Source organism: Homo sapiens, chromosome 13 (genome assembly GCF_000001405.40).
Source record: "Homo sapiens chromosome 13, GRCh38.p14 Primary Assembly".
Classification (NCBI taxonomy): domain Eukaryota; kingdom Metazoa; phylum Chordata; class Mammalia; order Primates; family Hominidae; genus Homo; species Homo sapiens.
Window position 1 is genome coordinate 28,773,025 of NC_000013.11, and position 1,720 is coordinate 28,774,744.

Here is a 1,720-nt window from a genome sequence, read left to right on the forward strand (position 1 = left end):
CCTGTTTTAGTCTTGGGAGGGCATATGTATCCAGGAATTTATCCCTTCTAGATTTTCTGGTTTATTTGCATAGAGGTGTTTATAGTATTCTCTGATGGTAGTTTGTATTTCTGTGGGATCAGTGGTGATAACCCCCTTATCAGTTTTTATTGTGTATATTTGATGATATCTCTTTTCTCTTTCATTAGTCTGGCTAGTAGTCTCTCTATTTTGTTAATCTTTTCAAAAAACCCACTCCCAGATTCATTGATTTTTTGAAGGGTTTTTATCTCCTTCAGTTTTGCTCTGATCTTAGTTATTGCTTGTCTTCTGCCAGCTTTTGAATTTGTTTGCTCTTGCTTCTCTAGTTTGTTTAATTTTGATGTTAGGGTATCTATTTTAGATCTTTTCCGCTTTCTGATGTGGGCATTTAGTGCTATAAATTTTCCTCAAAACACGGCTTTAGCTGTGTCCCAGAGATTCTGGTACGTTGTGTCTTTGTTCTCATTGGTTTCAAAGAACTTATTTATTTTTGCCTTAACTTCATTATTTACCAAGTAGTCACTCAGGAGCAGGTTGTTCAGTTTCCATGTAGTTGTGAAGTTTTGAGTCAGTTTCTTAATCCTGAGTTCTAATTTGATTGCACTGTGGTCTGAGGCTGTTTTTTATGATTTCTGTTCTTTTGCATTTGCTGAGGAGTATTTTAGTTCCAATTGTGTGGTCGATTTTAGAATAAGAGTGATGTAGTGCTGAGAAGAATGTATATTCTGTTGACTTGGGGTGGAGAGTTCTGTAGATGTCTATTAGGTCCACTTTGTCCAGAGCCGAGTTCAAGTTCTGATTATCCTTGTTAATTTTCTGTCTCATTGATCTGTTTAATATTGACAGTGGGGTGTTAAAGTTCCTCACTATTATTGTGTAGGAGTCTAAGTCTCTTTGTAGGTTTCTAAGCACTTGGGTGCTTCTGTGTTGGGTGCATATATGTTTAGGATAGTTAGCTCTTCTTGTTGCATTGATCCCTTTACCATTATATAATGTACTTCTTTGTCTTTTTGATCTTTGTTGGTTTAAAGTCTGTTTTATCAGAGACTAAGATTGCAACCCCTCCTTTTTTCTTGAGATGGAGTCTTGCTCTGTCACCTAGGCTGGAGTGCAGTGTTGCGATCTTGGCTCACTGCAACCTCTGCCTCCCAGTTCAAGCAATTCTCCTGCCTCAGCCTCCTGAGTAGCTGGGACTACACATGTGTGCCACCACGCCTGGCTAATTTTTTGTATTTTTAGTAGAGACAGGGTTTCACTGTGTTAGCCAGGATGGGCTTCATCTCCTGACCTCGTGATCTGCCCACCTCAGCTTTCCTAAGTGCTGGGATTACAGGTGTGAGCCACTGTGCCCAGCCCAACCCCTGCTTTTTTTTTTTTTTTTTTTGCTTTCCATTTGCTTGGTAAATATTCCTCCATCCCTTTTTTTTGAGCCTGTGTGTGTCTTTGCACATGAGATGTGTCTCCTGAGTACAGCACACCCATGGGTCTTGACTTTTTATCCAATTTGCCAGTATGTGTCTTTTAATTGGGGCATTTAGCCCATTTGCATCTAATGTTAATATAGTTATGTGTGAATTTGATCTTGTCATTATGACACTAGCTGGTTATTTTGCCTGTTAGTTGATGAAGTTTCTTCATGGTGTCGATGGTCTTTACAATTTGGTATATTTTTGCAGTGGCTGGTACCAGTTTTTCCCTT